A 19,611-nucleotide genomic window follows, 5' to 3' on the forward strand; every position below is an offset into this window, starting at 1 on the left:
TATTCCTCCGCGCGCTGGGACAGGCTGCTTCTTCGCCAGAACCAACCGGTTGCTTGCTGTCCCAGCGGCGCCCCCTCATCACCGTCGCCATGCCCGGAGGTCTGCTTCTCGGGGACGTGGCTCCCAACTTTGAGGCCAATACCACCGTCGGCCGCATCCGTTTCCACGACTTTCTGGGAGACTCGTAAGTGGCCACCGCGTAGCCCTGTCCTGGCCTCGGTTGCGCCGGACTCGGAGGTGCCTTCCCTGTTTCTTCTCCCTGCCGTCCTCCCGGCCGCTCAGCCCCCTGCGCCGCCCTCGCCTTCCCCCGCACTGGTTCCGGCGCGCGCCAGGCCGTGTGGCCTCTGCTCAGCGTCGGCTGCGCTGCTGGGAGCTGGCACCCGTTCGGCCTGCCCTGCGCGGGCCACTCGATCCCTCCTGGCCTCCCCGCCTCCGGCGTGGCTGGGCAAGGCCACGCCAAGGTGGGGGGTGGGGAGGATAAAATTGTGTTCTGCGGGTTCTGGAAACTCACCGCCCGCGGGAGGGTTTGTTGTCCATTTAACTCGTCTTAGTAAACTGTGCAGGTAGCGTGGTCAGGCCGAGGGCGCAGGGGCGGGGCGGCATTGACGATCACTTCCCCGGACTAGTGCCCAGGGTCGCACCGCCCTCCCACCCTCCGTTCTGGAATTTGCTCCCTGGGGAGGATGGGTGTCTAAAGCCAAAGTCGGAGGACACAGCTGCTGGCTATAGGTTACAGGAAGGCCAACGTATCATCTGAGGGTGCAGTGGTATTTGCAGGCTTCTGGGCACAAAATGTGAAATTTAAAACCACTAGCTGCCAAGTAGGTGGCCGAAAGACTTTTTGTCCAGAGCCGCCTCCAATGGCCAAGATATGATTTGATAACAGCTTTAGGAAGAGCCAAGAACACTCTGCGTAGGTGTGCCTTCAGAGATTCCAGAACTTGCAACACTTGGAGGGAAGGACTTTCTGACGCTGTTCCGCTGGAGTGGCCTATTCTTGCTAGTGATGGCCGTTCCAGGCTCCAGGACACGTGTACTCCCCAACTTTGAGACTCTCTTGTTTTCCAGTGGCTTGCCCCTCACTGTCCCCTCCGCTTTCTACCTTGCTTCTAGCACATGAGCTTGCTGATGATAGCCAAATTGATGACCTGTGATCTGACTTGGCAGTTTTACCATTATGGATAGGAGTAGTAAATCGGTGTTGCCCTTTTTTTTTTTTAACAGCTCCTGAATCAGCAAACTGGAAGTTGCTTAGTTTTCATCAGAAGCATTCCAGGCATGTCTAGTTATATTATGGTTCTGGAGTACTAGTGGTCCCACTACACTGTGGGGCTCCAAGGCTTGACAACAGTTCTTCCCCAGATTATATCCTTTTTATATACAGTATCCAGGGAGACAGGCTTATGAAATTAATCAGTGATTGGACAGGGCTGTGCAGAGAACCAGGGACAGATTCTTACACATCATATGCCTATCCAACCCTTTATAACCTCTTAAGTCCCTTTTCCAGCCACTGAATAGGGAAAAGTTAAGCTTTGTGAAAGATAGGACTAGGCCAGAAAAAGGTTGAGAAATGGAATATTCAAACCTTGAATGCAGAAAAATACTTTAGAAATACAGCTTATGGCCATTCTTATACTTAGGATCTAGGTAGTAATATTTCTCCAGCAATCCTTGGGATTTTTAGAGTTGTGTTCCTTCCCATTTCTACCTGCAGCCCTCATCCCCCATCCCCATGAAACATAAACTATTTCCAGAACTCTTAGCTTGTATAGATTAAATATTAGCATAAAACGTATTTACTGTGCCAACAGTTATAAATGCTGTCACTTTTTAAGCTAACCATACTTTTTTGGGGTTTTGTTAATGTTTATTGGCCTCTAGATCCATCTAGATTTGATCAAAAGTGGTACTTTATCAGGGAGCCATAGTTAGGAACACGGTAGAAATATCTGCATTTATTAACTAATATACAAGTCTGCCTAGGATCAGGTATAGTATTCCCTACCTTACCGGGAAGAGAAGTTTGAGCCTTTTATATGTTTATAACACATGGATTTTTGCCTGATTTTTCCAATTTTCTATTCTGTATATGATCCCAAATCAGACTGTCAATTTTTGATCCAGGTATTTTTGAGAAGAAAAAATTAAAATGTATTTCTCTACCTTACCCCTGATCATTGTAAACAACTAAAGAGGTTGGGTGCTACATTGGGTGAGTTTACCTTATCGCTGTTTCTTTAAGTGGTAGAAGCAGCTTCTTCATAGTACATCTTCACTAAGCAAAATATGTGTTTTCCAGGGGTCTTCTGGGGCTTAGTAAGTGGGAACCATTCTCTTGAAGGAGGAAACCTTTTGTCTTTTGAAAATGGGTAAGAAAATGGGAGCATGTCACTGAATTACTCTTAAGTGCAGCAGTAGGAAGACTTGGAGGGGAAGGAAGGCCAAGGTAAGACATTCTTGGAGTTTATCCTATTTGTAGCCATGAGGTAAACTGGAGTTTCACTTCTGAGGGAGGGAAGGACGTGAACTGGCTTAAAACCAGTTCCTTTTGCATGATTCAGCAAAACAGTCTTTATGGACTCACAGTGGAAAAAGAACTCCTAACTTTTCTAATTTATCCTCCTTTTAACGATAGAGGAGGAAACGCCCTGTTCCATTTCTTCTCAACTTCTGGAGACCTTCTGTTAAGTCTCATCTAACCATTAAATAGATCGTTTTCCATAGAATCTAAGGCCTAGATTTTACTCATAGTGATATTATCTACTTCAAAAGATATACTCTATGTTCTTCCTTTTGCCCTTCATAGTAAAGTGAACATAGTGCACACCTCCACAATCTTAAAAAAAAATACTAACTTTCCTCCCAGTCTTGCCATAGGGCCCTCCATCCTTTTTGTAAGAAGATCTTTTTCCTTCTTGAAACCTTGGGAGTTGAGTGGCAGCCGTAAGTAGGAAGGAGGTGCCCTTGTCTTTGCTTGTTCTCTGTGCTCAGGGAAACTTCAGAAAGGTCAACTTGGCATCTAGGCTAGATTTAGTTATCTACTAGTTTAGGATCCTGCCTAAATCATCTGGTTTAGGATGGTTTAAGTTGATGGGGATGTGGAGAACTGAGTGTTAAATTTTCCTTTTCAGTTGAAAGAGTAGTTTCTGTTGCCAAGAAGAAGGAAATGGTACTTCAGCTTTCTTCGTGACAGCTTGAAATGTGCTCAAAATTATAAAATCTTAGACAATGATGACTTAGATATTAGTATTTACCTAAGAATTTGCTGTTGTAGAAATCTACATTGCAGGCTATCAAAATTCTACCTGCTTGGTCTGAAGAAAGAAGAAAAAGAAACTGCAAATGAAGAGATAGGTAAAACTGTGAAGGTGCTATTGTTTTGTCAGAGTATAAATATTGGGTGTCATGTTTGGCAGGTAAGATCAGTAAAGTGGTTTTACAAAAGATTTTATATCCACTTGCTTCAGAGAAGCCAAGTGTCAACTTTAATTTTTACATATAAATAGAAGATAGAAACCTATTTATTTCAGATTACATAATTTGTTTATTATTGCAGTCAGGCATTTGTTTGGATTCAGGGCATACTGGGACATCCATTATTGGAGCTGAATGTCAGGGTCTATGCTAGAAAAAAATGTAGAAAAGGATAAGAAGAAATAATTAAGTGTTTTCAGTGAACTACTTGGCTTGAATAGCACAGATTGTATTAGCCAAAAAGGAGTCAGGGTGGCACCATAATTATTAAAGGAGGCAACACCTTAACATTAGTCTTTTTAAATATGTGTCATCTTGAATTTCATGTCTTTGATTGAATTGGGCTATAAGCATAGGCTTCTCTGGAGGTAAGTAGATTGAAAAGCACTCCTCAACAGAAAAGCTTAAAAGTAAATATCATCATAAGCATTCATTTAAAAAAGAAAGCCTGTTTTTGATCCAGAAGTTGTGACTTTTCATTCTCTGTGATGTTGGTGATAACTCTTAATTCAATTGTGACCTTGTTTTTCTTCCTTTCAGATGGGGCATTCTCTTCTCCCACCCTCGGGACTTTACCCCAGTGTGCACCACAGAGCTTGGCAGAGCTGCAAAGCTGGCACCAGAATTTGCCAAGAGGAATGTTAAGTTGATTGCCCTTTCAATAGACAGTGTTGAGGACCATCTTGCCTGGAGCAAGGTTAGTATCAATTGGCATGTGCTTTGAGCCTGAGATTATAGGTCAAGTTATAAATTATGGAGTACTTGGTTTTGAGGTTAAGGTACAAGTAAGCCTTAGGTTCAAAGTTCACTAATTATTTGAAAATTTCAGTTGAACCACACAGTGATCACATTGCTAAATCCATTGGTCAGTCAATTCTCAGCCCTCCTCTTGGCCTGCCAGCAGCATTCAACCCAGCTGATCACTGTACCTCCTGAAACTTTTTCCTTTCTTGACTTCCAGGACACCACATTCTAGCTGTTCCTGCTCACTGATTCTTCATCTCCCAACTCCTAATTTATGCTGAAGTTACCCTGAACTTATTTCTTGGACCTCATCTCTTTTCTGTCTGCACTCTTTCCCTTGGTGAGCTCATCCACTCACCTTTAAATACCATCTATGTGCTGTGATTCTCAAATTTTCATCTCTATGCCAGACTCTTCCAGGTTCATATAACCACTGCCTACCTAGCATCTCTCCTGGGATGTCCAGTCATCTCAAACCTAGCATGTCTAACTAGGCCTCATTCTTAGATCCAGAGTTTTACTCATCTAAGCTAATGGCAACTACATTTTTATAGTTGTTCACACCCCAAATCCAGGAGCCATTCTGAATTCTTCATGTTTTTTCACATCATACATCTGATTTATCCTCAAACTTGTCAGCTCTACCTTCAAAATATGTCCTGTATCATAGATAGAAGACTCACTTCCCAGGGATCTGTGTGACTTACCCTCACCTCTTTTGGGTCTCAACTCACAGGACATTTCATCAAAGCCTTTCTTGTCCTCATTATCTAAAATTATAACTCCTTTTCACGTTCACCATCCCCTTCTCCTCAGCACTCTGCATACTACCTATTTAGTTTGTTTGTTTCTTCCTAGTAGAGTATAAACTCAGCAGGAACAGAGACTCCTGTTTAGTGCACTGCTGGAACAATGCTCACTACTCAGTATATCCTAGGCGATCAGTCAATATTTGTTGAATGAATTAACTGAAGGAAATACCTACTTCTAGCAAAAGAATTTACTTGAACAGTAAATTTGGTGGTCTGAATTTACCTTGAAAACATTTTAAGAACTTGACTGCACTGTGCTGTTAAGTAATAATGATAACTACTTTTTGAGGGATGTATACTAGAAACTATGTCAAACGTGCAGTTGAATAAAAGATGTATTGACTTGTGAGTTAGGGGTCTGTGGCTGCATCCTATAGCAGTTAATGCCAGTTAATCCTAAATATCTGAGACTAGAAGAATCATGTGTAGGAGAAAAAAGAAGGGCAGTTATCTGTCTTGAAGTAGAATTTTTTTTCATTCCTTACACTTCTCAGTGAGTGGTAACTGTAGTTTTTGCTATCATTTTTCATTTTCGTTTTTGCAGTTGAACATACTTTTTTCACTCAGAGAGTTGGAGGGACTTGCCCAAGACTGCCCAATGGCAATGAGATTTCAACCTCAAATCAATGTTCTTTTTAATGCAAGATGATAAAGAGTAGGATTTAGCCTAATTTAGGATAGAATAAAGCCAAATAATTTAGGATAGGTTCTTTGGTGTTCATGGGTGTAATCTAATGCCCATGATGCAAGTGGCAGAGTAGAGAATTAGTGCACAGCAATAATTAAAGTGACATATTGCCAAAGGAAGCGGTTATAGCCCATTATATAATACCTTTTAAAGGACAGACGCATACTCAGGTTTATTTTACCTGCTGAGCTTCTGCCTTAGAAGTTTTCAGAATTGTGATTACATTGAATAGGAAAAAAGTCTGAACTATCAGAAGCAGTGCCGCAACTTTGACAAACAACTGATTATATAATAATCTGCCTCTAGCATGAGACTATATTAATTATTATTTAGCTCTGGTGACTTCATAAGCAGCCAGTGACAACAGAAAGTTAAGATAATAAAATGAAGGAATGTTACAATTTGTTATCATCCGGGAGCCTGAGGCAGGAGAATGGCTTGAACCCGAGAGGTGGAGGCTGCAGTGAGCTGAGATCGCGCCACTGCACTCCAGCCTGGGCAACAGAGACTCCACCTCAAAAAAATAAATAAATAAAAAGAATTTGTTGTTATCCACTTCAGAGCTCATTAATGCCACATTTGTCACATCTCCGTTGAGAAATCCACAATGGTTTTGTATCTGCTATGCCATCAAGCCCCTGTTTTACTTTCAAGCCTACACACAATAGACGTTATTCCAATTTTAAATCCTCTTTTCCATTACTTGCTAAACTCTATCCAACTAAGTTCCTCACTCTCCTATCAATAGTTTATGTACAGAGTTGCCCACATGTTTCATTAATATCGTTCCTGGCCGGGCACAGTGGCTCTCGCCTGTAATCCCAACACTCTGGGAGGCTGAGGCAGGTGGATCACAAGGTTAGGAGTTCAAGGCCAGCCTGGCCAAGATGGCGAAACCCCGTTTCTACTAAAAATACAAAAAAAAATTAGCCGGTGTGGTGGCGGGTGCCTGTAATCCCAGCTATTCAGGAGGCTGAGGCAGAGAATTGCTTGAACCTGGGAGGCGGAGGTTGCAGTGAGCCAAGGTTGCGGTGAGCCAAGTTCGCACCAGTGCACTCCAGCCTGGGCGACAGCAAGACTCTGTCTCAAAAAAAAAAAAAAAAAAAAATTAGATATATATATTTATATATATATATATTTATATATATACACACACACACACATACATATATATACATATGCACACGTATATAATATATATACACATATATATATGTGTGTGTGCATATATATATATAGTTCCTGATTCCTAGAATGCCTTTCTTTTCTCTGTGAAAAATCTTACCCATCCTTCAAGGGCCTAGATAGAAGTCCTGTTCTTTTCTTGAAGCCTTTTGTAACTTTTGGAGTCCTACAAATGGGAGTGTTCGTATACTTCAGTATTTACCATCCACCATTTAACATTAGTCTTGCATTTGCTGCTGCTTCATACTGGAATCATCTCTAACCAAATGAGAAGTTCCTTTGAAGGGAGGAGCCGTGTCTTACTCATCTGTATTCCACATGTATTTACCATAATGCTTAGCCCACCTTAAGTGCTATATCAATGCTTAATCAAATAACAAAACTAGATTTTTTTTTTCTCCAAAAGCTTCCAGGGATAGGAAAAGTAGAAATAAATGGATGAATAAAGTTTTACTAGGGAAGGAGGGAAGTGTATCATTTTTCTTTAGTTCAGACTTGAAATGCTTTGTTTTCTCTTTGAATTTCACCCTAGTTTAGGTTTACTTCTGCCTCTTCACCCATTTATTTTTGACTTGTCCTTCAAGTATATATTCAACTCTCCATTCTTGTGTTTGCTTTGTTTTGTGATTTGTTTTTTTTTTTTTTGGTCATTTCTTATTTGTCTTGTAACTTAGCATCTGAGTCAGGGTGCTTTATGAGGTAGGGACCAGATCTATAAGATTTTCTTTACATATGGCATTATTTCTAGATGTGATGGATTTAACAAACCTATTGTTATCTGATGATTTTTACAGTATTTGGGTACCCAGAGGTACCTTGTATTTGGATCTAACTAAATTATTGCAATTTTAAAGGGGTTGCTGCTATTTTCTCATAGCAGTAAAAGCATGCTGAATTTAAGAGAACTGGGCATGAAAACAGCTTTGGTCCATGATTACAACCTAAGTACTGTACTCTGCTGTTATTCCTGGCAATAATTGGAATGAAGAGTGTTCATCTACTCACTTTTTAAAATTAAAATTGCTTAAAGAAAATTACTGTGATTTGGTCCTCTTTCCTGTCTTGCAAGGTGATGGCTGTTAACTGATGAAATTCAGAGCATGTGTTGGGTTTAGATTCCTCTTTCCCCTTTTACTTGTGTTTCAGGATATCAATGCTTACAATTGTGAAGAGCCCACAGAAAAGTTACCTTTTCCCATCATCGATGATAGGAATCGGGAGCTTGCCATCCTGTTGGGCATGCTGGATCCAGCAGAGAAGGATGAAAAGGGCATGCCTGTGACAGCTCGTGTGGTAGGTCATACAAATTCATTTTGTAGTTAGCTTAACTGATCAGGCTGTATGTCCGTGTAAATGCTGGTACCAGCTAGAGGAGATAGGGGAATATCTACGATTATGAAATAACTGTGTATTGGCGACAATATCACTGATTATCTGTAATGCTGATGCAATTTTCAGCTAAATTTTCCAACTGCTTTATTCATAGTTCATGGAAATCTACAAAAAAAAAGTTGTTTATCCTAAAATGTCTTCCAGAATTGAGAAACCTTTTCATAGCTCTCCTGACTGCTCTCCTGACCGCCCTGTCTTTAAAGTGATGGGCCATATCCTTCTTCATAAGGCAGCTCTGTTTTAAATTTTTATTTGTTCTGTCCTCCGCCCACTAGAAAACAAACCCAATCCCTCATCTGAATAAATGCACAACTATTCAAGGAACAATATCAACTCCCATTAGTATTATTTTTATGATAGTCATCCCCAATTGACACAGCCTTTCCCTCGATTAAATTTGCATATCAGTTTTTCTTACTGGGAAAGCCAGAACCAAATAGAATTCCCTTCTACGTTTAGAAAATAACAGGGAGAAGAAAATTATCTGTATTCCAGCCATCCACATTAGCAGTTGGTGTATCCTTCTAGATGCTTTGTTTTTGTCTTGTTTTTATACCCTTGAACATTATTAATGACTGCAGAGCTTTCTAAGTGGCTTTAATAACACTCAAAGAACTCTTCCTATTTATGCCCCTCTGTGCTTTACAGGTGTTTGTTTTTGGTCCTGATAAGAAGCTGAAGCTGTCTATCCTCTACCCAGCTACCACTGGCAGGAACTTTGATGAGATTCTCAGGGTAGTCATCTCTCTCCAGCTGACAGCAGAAAAAAGGGTTGCCACCCCAGTTGATTGGAAGGTAAAGATGTTTTTAAAAAGCAGTTTCTCTACTTGCCTGAAGGGCCAGTCTCTAAATGGCCAACTTCAAGGTCTGTGTTACCTGTTTCTAGCACGCAAGTACACTGGGAGGATTTTTCCTCATGGCTGAGTTCAAGATTTGCTGAAAGGCCCTTTTCAAGGTCTTTATAACACCTTTTATACACAACACAAACTCCCTATATGGCTTTCCAACTTTTAGATAATTTGGAAAAATTATTGGTCAGAATGATTCCTTTTCCTAATAGAAGGTTTAAAAAAAAAAATTTTATCTAACCCTTCCCTGATGGCAAAATATTTATCGCACAATCTTAATTGGCCATTTCCGTTAAGTCATGGCTGTAAAAGTACTGGTGTATTAATGTCATTAAGTATTTAATTTCTCTTAAGCTTCATTCTTTTAAACCTGTGCTAGAATTCTCCAAAATTTGTTCATAAACTTTTCATCTTTAGGACATGGATAACATCACAAGAGTATCTTAACATTGCTACATTTTTAAAATAATGCTAACCTGAATAGCAGGTTTTGTTTTGTTTTTTTCTGACAGACAAATCACTTAAATTCTGTATCCACTAGTTAACTTATTATTACTTATTTATGTACTTATTGAGCCCAGATAGTAGTGAACTGGGGAGATAGCAGTGAATAATAGAAAGTCCTTGCCCTCATAGAACTTCCATTCCAGTGAGTGGAGACAAACAGTAAACAAGTTTATTAAGTGGTGATAACAGGTGCTACAGGGAAGAATCAAGCACAGATGGGGAGAATAACAGCACAGGGGTGGGAGAGTGACTGTCAAGGAATGCCTGTCTATGAAGGGACCTTTGGAGAAAAACACAGAGAAGATGTGACCAAGGCATGTATACTTGTGAGGGACGAGCACTATAGGCAGAAGGAGCAGTTAGTGCAAGAAACTGGGCCTACAAGTGAGCTTGGCATGTTGGAGGAATACAAGGAAAGCTAGCATGCTTGGAGAAGAAGCTGCAGAAGGTGGGGTGAGGGACAAGAGATGAGAGGAGGCAGGATTCCATCACACAGGGCTTGCAGGCCATGATACTCAGAATTAAATGTAAAGTGTGGTGGCCAGCTGTTACTGGGTTTAAAACAGGACTGTTTCTTGTTAAGATGGGGGAACTGCTTTCCTGCCAAAAGTGCCAAAGATCAACTTGGAAAACAAAATCCTCACAGAGGGGAGAGTAAAGAACACTTGATTAGTCTCATTAGCACCTGTAGCTACTTTTCTAAAGTTAATTCCTGAAGGCCTTGAAGCTTCACTATGAGATTGAATTTCACCATTCTCAATGTCTTTCAATAGGATGGGGATAGTGTGATGGTCCTTCCAACCATCCCTGAAGAAGAAGCCAAAAAACTTTTCCCGAAAGGAGTCTTCACCAAAGAGCTCCCATCTGGCAAGAAATACCTCCGCTACACACCCCAGCCTTAAGTCTCTTGGAGAAGCTGGTGCTGTGAGCCAGAGGATGTCAGCTGCCAATTGTGTTTTCCTGCAGCAATTCCATAAACACATCCTGGTGTCATCACAGCCAAGGTTTTTAGGTTGCTATACCAATGGCTTATTAAATGAAAATGGCACTAAAAGTTTCTTGAGATTCTTTATACTCTCTGCCTTCAGCAATCAATTCCATTCATACATCAGCACTCTGCTGGTTCTGTTTGAAATATGTTCTGTATTTAAAACTCAAATCTTGTTGGATCTCTGCAGGGCTTGTGACCAATGAAGTCATATTTGTTGATGGTTGACAAAGCTTGCTTCACTCCATCAGAGAATGACTATCAATTTTTTTTTAACTGTCCTATCACGTCCTCTCCTGTCACCCATTTTGAAGAGTGGCAGAACTTGAAGTTCAACTTCCTCTGTAAATATCCAAGTATAAAGCCCAGGAACTTCTAGAATAACCCAGATGCGCTTTAATTTTTTTTAATATGTTTTGATCACAGAACTTCTAGAATAACCCAGATGCTCTTTCATATTCTTTTAATACATCTTGATCACAGCTGGGGGAAAAAAAGCTTTTTAATTCTATACCTTCCTAGTAGATAAGTGAAGAGCAGGGAAAGAGACCTTTAAATATTTTGCTATAAAAAAATTTGTGATAAGTTTCTATCAAAATGGGGAGATTGCAGAAAAGGCTTCCCTTGGCTCCCAAGGAGGTGTAGCAGGTGTGAGCAATATTAGTGCCATGTGCCTTTCACACAGGGTTTGCATTTATCAGTCTGTTTTCCGATGATGTGTACATGAAAGAGTACACCATGTGAAGAGAAGAGAGAATGATTGAAAATGTTTTAGTATAGAACTCTTCTTGCAGTGGGTTGCTATTTTCTAGATTTTACTTTTTAGGGAACAAAATAAAATCCTTTGTTAAAACTGGGTCAGAGAATTCTGTTGTCATATTTTGAAGTATCAGATTTATGTCCTAAAGGGCAGAGGCTTCCTTCTTCCTAGGATTGGCATGAGTAATTTCTTCCAAAGACAGATACATAAGATTTTATATAATGAAAATGGAGGAACAGCTGAAGAACGTGTGATGTCACCACATATCTTGGTCCACTTTGCTCCTTCATGTTACTTGTTTGGATCCTACAGTCCCATGATGTTATGATCCCTGGTATAAAGAGCTCTCTTAACCTAATTCCTTAATGGGATTGCTGGGTGTAGGAATGTGAACCTCAAAGATAATGGTACATCTGTGCTTTTTGCTGCTCTGAACTAATACTCTCTCAGACTTTGATTATACTCTACTAATAAGTGCCAGGTTTAGAAAAGGGTGTCCCATTTACGATGTCTTAGTCTGCTTGGGCTGCTATAGCAAAAATACTACAGACTGGGTGGCTTAAACAACAAACATTTCTCACATTTCTGGAGACTGGAAGTCCAAGATCAAAGCACTGGTAAATCCTGTCTGGCGAGGACCTGCTTCCTGGGTTGTAGTTTGCTGCCTTCTTGTTGTATCCTCACATGACCAAGAGAGGGATCATCGCTCAACGTCTCATAAGGTCACTAATCCCATTCACGAAGGCTCCACCCTCATGACCTAATAATTACCTCCCAAAGGCCCTTCATCCAAATACTATCACACTGGGGATTAGGCTTTAACATAAGAATGTTGAGGAGACACATTCAGTCCATAGCACCTGGTATAAGTCCTTTGTATGAAACCTTTTTTTTTTTTTTTTTTTTTTTTTTGAGACAGTCTCACCCTGTCCAGGCTGGAGTGCAGTGACACAATCTCGGCTCACTGCAACCTCTGCCTCCTGGGTTCACGCAATTCTCCTGCCTCAGCCTCCCGAGCAGCTGGGACCACAGGCACGTACCACCACACCCAGCTAATTTTCGTGTTTTTAGTGGAGACGGGATTTCACCATATTGGCCAGGCTGGTCTCAAACTCTTGACCTCGTGATCCATCCGCCTCAGCCTCCCAAAGTGCTGGGATTACAGGCATGAGCCAATGCGCCCGGTCAAAACCTCTATATTTTTATTGAGTAGAATAATGTAAAACAAGCCCTAATGCCACATGAGAGACAGGTCATTAAGCCTTTAGTTTCCTTGATTACTCCACATGTAGAATTTGAGTAACACTAAGAAGGTCAAGAACGTAGGTAGAAATTCCAATTCTGGGGAATGCTGGTTTGAAAGAGACAAAAGGGCTAGCTAGCTTCCTGCTCTCATTCCTCCCCATTTCAGTATATTTTGCCCTGAGCTAATACTGCTGAGCATGGTGGCATGCGCCTGTAGTTCCAGCTACTTGGGAGGCTGAGAGCAGAAGGATTGCTGGAGCACAGGAGTTCAAGTCTAACCTGGGCAACATAGACCCAGTCTCTTAAATAAATAAATGCTCTCTGTCCTCTTACAGCAAATCTGACTATCCCCGGCTCCTGTTGTTTCCCTATCAGGGTCCTTACTGCTCTCTTCTCTTCACTTGGATATTTGCCTCTTTTGTTCTTGCCTCTCTCATGGAGAGTCTGGCTTCACCTTTTTTATGGTGCTAGTTCAGAGTTTAAATCTCCAACATGAGTTACTCAGATTGGAATCTTGTTTACAGATGGATGGAATATTTGCTGTTTAATTTGCAAATTCTAAATGGGATTCGTCGACGTTTTCTCCAACCTCAAACCTATCTATTGTCCCTCTTACCTCTTATTCAGCCTTGGTGTGTGCTTGGCTATATATACTATTCTACCAGTATAGATGATGTCAGTATAAAAATGCTGAAAGAGAGCTCAAAGAAAATGGGTCATGTACCCTCAAATTGAATTCTGGTTCTGTCACTAAGCAGCCATGAAGCCATGAGACCTTGTGCAAGTATTCTTTTCCAAACATAAAATATTACCTAATGAATATGCATTTCCAGGGTAGAAGTGATCCTTAAGTACATTTTTAAACACAGTCATGCATTGCTTAATGACCGGGATATATTCTAAGAAAAGCACCATTAGCCAATTTCTTTGTTGTGTGAACATTACATAGAGTGTACTTATACAAACCTAGATGGTATATATTTTTATTTTCTATATATTTTATCATATTGAAAACCAAATGTCCCAGCATCATTACTGAATATCAGTCATTTCCCTGCTTGATCTGCAATGCCAACATCAAATGCAATATATTAGGTTTCTATAAATGCTCCGTTAAAGCCTTATGGGACCACTGTCATAAATGTGGTCCATCATTTGTCTGAAGCACTGTTACGTGACGCATGACTGTAACACTATTAGGCAGGGAGAGTAGAGTCCCCTTATGAGAATTGCTGCCCTCAATTTTCATAGAAAAGAATAAATTTCATTATGCATCCAATGATTTATTTATAGCAAGTGAATTAATGTGTGGCTACTGCAGCTATGAAAGAAATACAACTTCAGAGGCAGTCTATGCGACCTCAAAGAGTTAGGAAATGCTTTGGCTAGTCTTCTAAGGTGACCAAAGTGATAGACCTGTGATTCCTTTGTTGTGGTCTTGTCAAAAGTCTGATCTTACCCCCAACCTCCAACCAAAAGATAGGGATCTGCAGTGAGAAGCTCAGCAAAGGGATGAGAAGCCAGAATGGCTGTGCCTAAATGGCCAAGTCAGGATGCCAATTACTGGGTGCAGTGAACTGGCATAGGGATATACTCCCTCACATCCATTTGAGCCTTCCTCTTTGAAACAATGCAAATTGAGGAAATGCTGACAACTTTGATTCTAGCTAAATGGGCATAGCGTTAACTGGTTAAAAGGCCATCGCTACCCTCTTGTCATTCAGAAATGGCCATGTAGTTCACTTCTTGCTGATGAGACACAAATGGAGGATTGTTGGAGGTTTCTAGAATTCTTTCTCACTCTGGAGAGCAATTGTAAGCATTTGTTTGTCTCCCACTGGATATAAACAAGAAAACATGAAGCACTAATTGCTGCTGGTAGCTGTCTTACAACCTAGGAGTAGTGAATCAGCCATAGAATGAGGCTGAAAAGGTAAACAGCAGAGTGGAGAGAAAGAAAAACTGATATTTGATGACCTTCACTGAGTCTACCAATCACAAATATGTCCTGCCTTTTAACTTGCATTACATAAAAATTTCTTTAGTATTTAAGTCTGAGTTGGGTTTTCTGGTACTTGCAGCCCACAGTATCCTAACATATGCATGGGATGAAGTATTATCCTCTAGTTGTCTCAAATATATGGTGATGTACTGCCTCCTAAACAAACAGACGTATGTTTTCTTCTACTACTCTATCACCTATACTTATGGAACTCAGGCTTCAATCTGCACTAAACCACCTGAGGAGCACATTAAAATGCAGAGCCCAAAGGCCTACCCTCAGGGATTGATTCCATAGGTGGCTATAAATCCATTTTATTTAACTTTAAAACAATATTTTAGACACAGGGTCTCACTATGTTGTCCAGGCTAGCCTCCAACTCCTGAGCTTAAGGGATTCTTCTGCCTCAGCCTCCTGAGCAGCTGGGATTACAGGCACATACCACCACACACAGCTCACAAATTCACTTTTGACAACCCAGGTGACCTGTGACAGAATACAACAAATACTGCTGTTGTTCCACCAATACCCATTTCCCTCTTAAGCCTTACTAAGAACACCAAGATTGCATTAGGGTAACAAGGTGAGGTGCCATTTCATCTCAAGGTGAATTTTGAAATAGGTGTGGCCATGTGACAGTTCTGGCCTAGGGTCAGGTCCCTTCCTAACTGAAAAGGCAAAGCCTCATTAGGGGAAAGCTCTTAGCCCTACTCCTGAAAAACAATCGGGAGGCCTGGTGTTAACAGGTGTTGTTTTGCCACCATGAGGATAAATATCACAAGCCAAGGATGAAGAAGAAGTAGGCTACAGGAACCCTGGGTCCATAATAACATCCTGAAGCAGCTGCACCACTCCTGTCTGCCTATTTCCAGACATCCTATTAAACTGGAAAGATGAACCCCTATGTGGTTATGCCACTGTGGTCAGGTTTCTGTAATGTTCAGAAACACCTCATATTTGTTGACACACAGATGCTCCAAGGACCATGCTGAGAAATACTGCCTTATTAAGCTAGGTATAGAAGTTTCTTAATAGTTTGAACTTGATTTCTTCTCTTGTATTCCCTTCTATTCTTACCTCTGTCCGAGGTGTGTGAACCAGAGCAACTCCATCTTAAATAGGAGCTGGGTAATGTTGAGAACAGGCCCCCCAAAATCTGGCCATTAACTGGCCCTAAAACTGGCCATAAACAATATCTCTGCAGCACTGTGACATGTTCATGATGGCCATGACGCCCACGCTGGAAGGTTGTGGGTTTACTGGAATGAGGGCAAGGAACACCTGGCCCACCCAGGGTGGAAACCTCTTAAAGGCGTTCTTAAACTACAAACAATAGCATGAGCGATCTTTGCCTTAAGGACATGCTCCTGCTGCAGATAACTAGCCAAACCCATCCCTTTATTTCGGCCCATCCCTTTGTTTCCCATAAGGAGTACTTTTAGTTAATCTATAATCTATAGAAACAATGCTTATCACCGGCCTGCTGTTAATAAATATGTGGGTAAATCTCTGTTCGAGGCTCTCAGCTCTGAAGGCGGTGAGACCCCTGATTTCCCACTCCACACCTCTATATTTCTGTGTGTGTGTCTTTAATTCCTCTAGCGCTGCTGGGTTAGGGTCTCCCTGACCGAGCTGGTCTCGGCAGGGTAAAATGAGACTGAAACCTACTGGGCTGTGTTCCCCAACAGTTAAGGCCTCCTGAGTCACAGGATAAGATAGGAGGTTAGCACAAAATACAGGTCATAAAGACCTTGCTGATGAAACAGGTTGCAGTAGGCCAGCCAAAACCCACCAAAAGCAAAATGACCACGAGAGTGACCTCTGGTCGTCCTCACTGCTACACTCCCACCAGTGCCATGACAGTTTACAAATGCCATGGCAACATCAGGAAGTTACCCTATATGGTCTAAAAAGGGAATCTGCCTCCTGTTTAGCGTATCATCAAGAACTAACCATAAAATGGGCAACCAGCAGCCCTCGGGGCTGCTGTGTCTATGGAGTAACCATTCTTTTATTTCTTTACTTTCTTAATAAACTCGCTTTCACTTTGCACTGTGAACTGGCCTTGAATTCTTTCTTGCACAAGATCCAAGAACCCTCTCTTGGGGTCTGGATCTGCACCCCTTTCCTGTAACGTATTTCTGGCGACCACAAAGGGACTATCGTGCAGAAACCCTGACCCAACAGCTACCTTTGCGTAAGTAGTGGGGTCCTGTAACATCTTTCTGATGACAAGGGAAGTGACTGTACTGCAGAAACCCCCAACCCAAAGGCTAACTTTGGGTAAGTGGTGGGGTCCAGTAACATCTTTCTGGATGTAACCACAAAAGGGACAATACCGAGGAGACCCCCCCAAAACCCAAGGAAAATAGACGGCAGCACTGATTGGATGACTTGGGGTAAGTGGTGGGGTACCCAGGTAAAGAATGGAATTGAGTTAGAGGCCCACCTTAGGGGAGTTAGAATCTCTCCTAAGACTGAGTGGGTTAAAGGCCTCTCTTAATAAAAGGCAAGGACGTTTGACCAACCTTGGGTTACAGGCCCAACTTAGGACGGTTAGAGTCCCTTCTAAGATTTAGGGGGTTGGTTAGAGGCCCCTCTCAGTAAAGTCCCTAAGAACAGGTTTGGTACTATGGAATGTTAACTGCTATTCTCGTTGTATTAATTTGCCTTGCACTCTTTGCTGACAGCTGTGGGTGACAGGATTAGGCATGTACAGGATCATGGGACATGGGGAACTTTTCCATCCCTAAAAGGGGAAACTTGAGAGCTAATGGGACTGCTGGAAGAGACTTGTTTGCTACCGACAAGCGGCCACCCGAACTTTTTCATTGTCGGATGGAATAAGTGGGTTTCTCTGGCCTCCCTAAGCTCTTCACCTTCCCCACCCTGCCACAGGCATACTTTCCTTCTCTACTTTTTTCTTTTTTTTTTTTTTGAGATGGAGTTTCACTGTTTCGCTCAGGTTGGAGTGAAGTGGTGTGATCTCGGCTCACTGCAACCTCCACCTCCCGGGTTTAAGTGGTTCTCCTGCCTCAGCCTCCCTAGTAGCTGGGATTACAGGCACCCACCACCATGCCCAGCTAATTTTTGTATTTTTAGTAGAGACAGGTTTTCACCATGTTAACCAGGCTGGTCTCAAACTCCTGACCTCAGGTGATCCATCCGCCTTGGCCTCCCAAAGTGCTAGGATTACAGGTGTGAGCCACTGCTCCTGGCTCTACTTTTCTTTTCCTATCTTTTCGTTATTCATGGCAGCCATCTTGTCCAGAGACCACATGTTGAAACTCTAAGTCAGAGGTTGGATTAAAGATGACAGGGCACATCTGGGGGCAAATTTAAGCCTTGCCAGTTTGATATTGGGTGCTAAGCAGAGTGGCTAATGTCTATGTTTTATCACATGTATTTTGCTCTGGTCAGAATGAAAAAAATAATTTTCCTTTATGATGCGGCTTGGTCCCCAGGGCAATGGTGCCACAAGCCAGATCACTAGGGCCGCTCAAGGAAAGGGAAGCCAGAAGCCTGGCATGCCAGCAAAAGGGTAAGAATTTCTTACCAGTCAGCTTTCTGGCTTCTCTCTCTCTGTGCAAATGGTTAAATGAATGGTAAAAAACAAACAAACAAAAACGGTGTTTATTTCCTCTGTAAAGTTTTGATTAATGTGAAAAAGAATTCTAGGGCTAGTCTTAAGCTGATGTATTTTGTAGTATAAATTTGTTTTTCTGTTTTGAGGGGTACTTCAGGATAAAACATGGGCTTAGAACACCTGTAAGCCTGCTTTTCAAGAAGACCCAGCAGGCTGGTCAGTAGCAAACTTGGCTGCAGGTCCCTAAAACAAACAAACCAAAAAAACTGGATGAAGTCTCCACCTTGTTTTATGTCCTTGGGAGCTTGACCTTTTAACCACGTGGCGGTACATTCTTTTGGTCTCCGCCTTCAGGGAACAGGAATTTTAGGGTTCATGTCATAGTTAGCTCTAAAAATCATATTAAATAGTTAAAAGCCTTTGCGAGCTCGAAATCAACTACTCTAAACTCCTTCTGGGAAAGAAAATGGAGACTGCCCTGTGCTGTAGCTCAGTAACAAAGGTTTTTGCACTTTCACAGTTGCAGTCCAGGTTCAATTCCCCACCTAGGAAGTGAGTTGTTTCTGGTTTAATATCTGCATGATTTTGTCTGTTCTATTCTCCTCCATGGACTGTCTTAAATTTTCCTTTCTCTAATCACCCGGGAGGTTACCTTTGGTAAAGTTCAAAAGCCAGAAATATCGGCCGTTTGGCATAAGAAATTCTAAAAGGACTTTATTAAAGAGTGCTATGGTTAGAATCAGTTCAAGCTCTAACAGCCTGGACTCCTTGGGAAAAATAGGAGGCACCAGAGACCTCTTTCCTGGCCCTTTTCTTCCAAGGGCTCCACCCTAAAGCCAGTAATCCAATTACAAAACTTAAAAATTGGCAAATGAAAAATTTTACTACTACTGTAGTAATCTTCTGTCTTTCTGTGTAGCTATATATGTGTTGTGTGTAATGTTTATATAAAAGAACTCATTAATTGGCTTAAACAAAAATAAACACAAATCAAATATTTTGAAAGCAAAATAAAAACTGTAATGCCTTTTAGTTCGTGTAACTTTAATAATTTTGGGGAAATAAAAACAGCTTTAAAATTTTGATAAAAACGTTCAGTCTAAATTATGCAGATCAGATATTAAGTTTGCTAAATGCTTTAAGGTCATAAATTGCTTCTTTGACTTTTAAAAATTGTTCAATTTACCTACCTTAAAGCCATTAGATTCTAGATAAGGCTTGGGGACATGTGAAATTAGCCATGTACCCTACCTATACAAAGAAGATTATTTAAAAAGAGATTTTATATAAAAAAGGATCTTGTATGGTAAACTCTTGTCCTAAAGTAAAATGACTGGTTGTTTAAAAGGAAGGATGTTTAGGACAAATCAGAAAGTC

At 41.3% G+C, this 19,611-nt stretch overlaps 1 protein-coding gene and 1 long non-coding RNA gene across 2 annotated transcripts, besides 2 other annotated features; one reads left to right on the forward strand and one right to left on the reverse strand.

Moving 5' to 3' along the window:
* PRDX6 (peroxiredoxin 6) lies at window positions 27-11,507 on the forward strand. Its single transcript, NM_004905.3, has 5 exons — window positions 27-184; window positions 4,018-4,174; window positions 8,053-8,199; window positions 8,947-9,093; window positions 10,427-11,507. The coding sequence occupies exons 1-5, from the start codon at window positions 90-92 to the stop codon at window positions 10,553-10,555; spliced, it is 675 nt and encodes a 224-aa protein (NP_004896.1). The 5' UTR covers window positions 27-89; the 3' UTR covers window positions 10,556-11,507.
* Window positions 66-225: an enhancer, noted in NCBI's record as "active region_2113". NCBI's record gives its function as "activates an Ori minimal core promoter by ATAC-STARR-seq in GM12878 lymphoblastoid cells {active_cell/tissue: GM12878}" and the evidence as "EXISTENCE:reporter gene assay evidence [ECO:0000049][PMID:35858748]".
* LOC124904456 (uncharacterized) lies at window positions 11,455-18,163 on the reverse strand. Its single transcript, XR_007066738.1, has 2 exons — window positions 17,800-18,163; window positions 11,455-15,134 (listed from the first exon to the last, which is right to left on the reverse strand). It is a non-coding gene; the product is annotated as an uncharacterized LOC124904456 (long non-coding RNA).
* Window positions 15,368-15,568: a silencer, noted in NCBI's record as "peak459 fragment used in MPRA reporter construct". NCBI's record gives its function as "represses an SCP1 promoter by STARR-seq MPRAs in K562 erythroleukemia cells {active_cell/tissue: K562}" and the evidence as "EXISTENCE:reporter gene assay evidence [ECO:0000049][PMID:32103011]".

Source organism: Homo sapiens, chromosome 1 (genome assembly GCF_000001405.40).
Source record: "Homo sapiens chromosome 1, GRCh38.p14 Primary Assembly".
NCBI lineage: Eukaryota > Metazoa > Chordata > Mammalia > Primates > Hominidae > Homo > Homo sapiens.

Coding starts and splice junctions, on each gene's coding strand:
- PRDX6 (NM_004905.3), top strand. CDS start 90: ATGCCCGGAGGTCTGCTTCTCGGGGACGTGGCTCCCAACTTTGAGGCC. Junction 185..4,017: donor CACGACTTTCTGGGAGACTC/GTAAGTGGCCAC, acceptor TCTTCCTTTCAG/ATGGGGCATTCTCTTCTCCC. Junction 4,175..8,052: donor ACCATCTTGCCTGGAGCAAG/GTTAGTATCAAT, acceptor CTTGTGTTTCAG/GATATCAATGCTTACAATTG.